Below are 1,598 nucleotides of genomic sequence, written 5' to 3'. Positions count from 1 at the left end.
ATTGTATATAAATTCCAAATAGAATCTGGCATCACCCTAAAGGAATTCTAATTTCACACTGTTGGGGGAAATTTTCCAAGATGGCTTCAGAGTAGACTAACTTTACACAGCACATTAAAAAAAAAAGACATTTATTCAGCGTCATGATGAGACTATTACATTTAGCAATCAACAGCATGGGTGCAAAAAAAAAAATCTACATTAAAACCCTTTGTTGGAACGCTTTACATTTTTCATAGAACAGAAACCAAAATAACCTGTTATACAAATAGTCACAAATACAGTCCTCGAATTTTTTGCCCATATACATGAGTATTTGTCTAAAACTTGTCTTCTTTGTAGCAGCTAGGCCCTGCCACCACTGTGCTTGGCTGAGTTCGCAAATCTGTTGTAACCTGTAGCTTCCCTGTCACTTCTCTTGCTCTCCTCTCCTGCAAAGCTTTGTTTCCTAATTAAAATCTGCAGCTACTGCCATAGCTACTGCTGCTACTGGAACTGCCATAGCCACCTTGGTTATGTGGTTTGGCAAAGTATTGGCCTCCACCACCATAGGGGCCAGAGTTTCTGCCTCCAAAGTTTCCTCCCTTCATGGGTCCAAAATTTAAAGGCTGATTGTTGTAATTGCCAAAATCATTGTAGCTTCCACTGCCTCCAAAATTGCTTCAATCGTTACCATATCCATTATAGCCATCCCCACTGCCATCATATCCACCACCACCACGGCTGCCACCAAAGGCCCCACGACCACGGAAGTTTCCTCCACGACCAAAGTTGTTATTCCCACTGAAACCACTTCTAAGACCACCAGCAAAGTTTCCAGAACCACTTCGACCTCTTTGGCTGGATGAAGCACTAACCATCTCTTGCTTTGACAGGGCTTTCCTAACTTCACAGCTGTGGCCATTCACAGTGTGGTATTTCTGAATGACAGTCCTGTCCATGGAGTCATGGTCCCCAAAGGTTACAAAGGCAAAGCCCCTTTTCTTGCCACTGCTTCAGTCAGTCATGATTTCAATCACTTCAATTTTTCCATAGTGTTCAAAACAATCTCTTAGGTGATCATTTTATAGAAGAGAAATTGATTTCAATAGAAGTTAATGTGTACAAGACTTCACTACTACATAGAGAAAGCCTCGGAGCTGGAGCCTGGGTCTAGCCTATGTTCTCACAGCACCTTTAATCTTCCTGAATTGCCAGTGGCTGCTAATCCCTTTCTCAAGGACATTTACATTTTAAGAGGGGCAATTCCAGAGAACACATTCATAGACGATGAAGAAATAATGACTGGAATGGCAGTAACATCAGAGGCATCAAGAAGCTTGTATGGGTGTTCTTTTAGGAAAGAAAAGAGGTTTTGGAGTACAGGCTTTTGGAGGCCTTCAAATCCATACTGCTTGGTGACTGTAAGATCTTCCTGACCCACCGCTGGCCACAGGTAGAAGCTCCCTAGTCCTTGCCATTTGTCCTCAAGAAGCACCTTGGGACCAGTTCGCTCATTCTTCTTCTGATTAAAATGACAATCTTGTACCTTACTTTCCAGACAATTAAAATTGAGTAAGGCAACATTTTCTTTCTAAATTTCCATTGCTCCTCCAAGT

At 42.0% G+C, this 1,598-nt stretch overlaps 1 pseudogene; it reads right to left on the bottom strand.

Annotated features, from left to right (window-relative positions):
- Positions 1–255: 255 nt before the first annotated feature.
- On the bottom strand, positions 256–1,060 carry HNRNPA1P58 (heterogeneous nuclear ribonucleoprotein A1 pseudogene 58; annotated as a pseudogene).

This window comes from Homo sapiens, chromosome 6 (assembly GCF_000001405.40).
Source record: "Homo sapiens chromosome 6, GRCh38.p14 Primary Assembly".
Lineage (NCBI taxonomy): Eukaryota > Metazoa > Chordata > Mammalia > Primates > Hominidae > Homo > Homo sapiens.
This window is presented reverse-complemented; position numbering and strand designations above follow the sequence as displayed.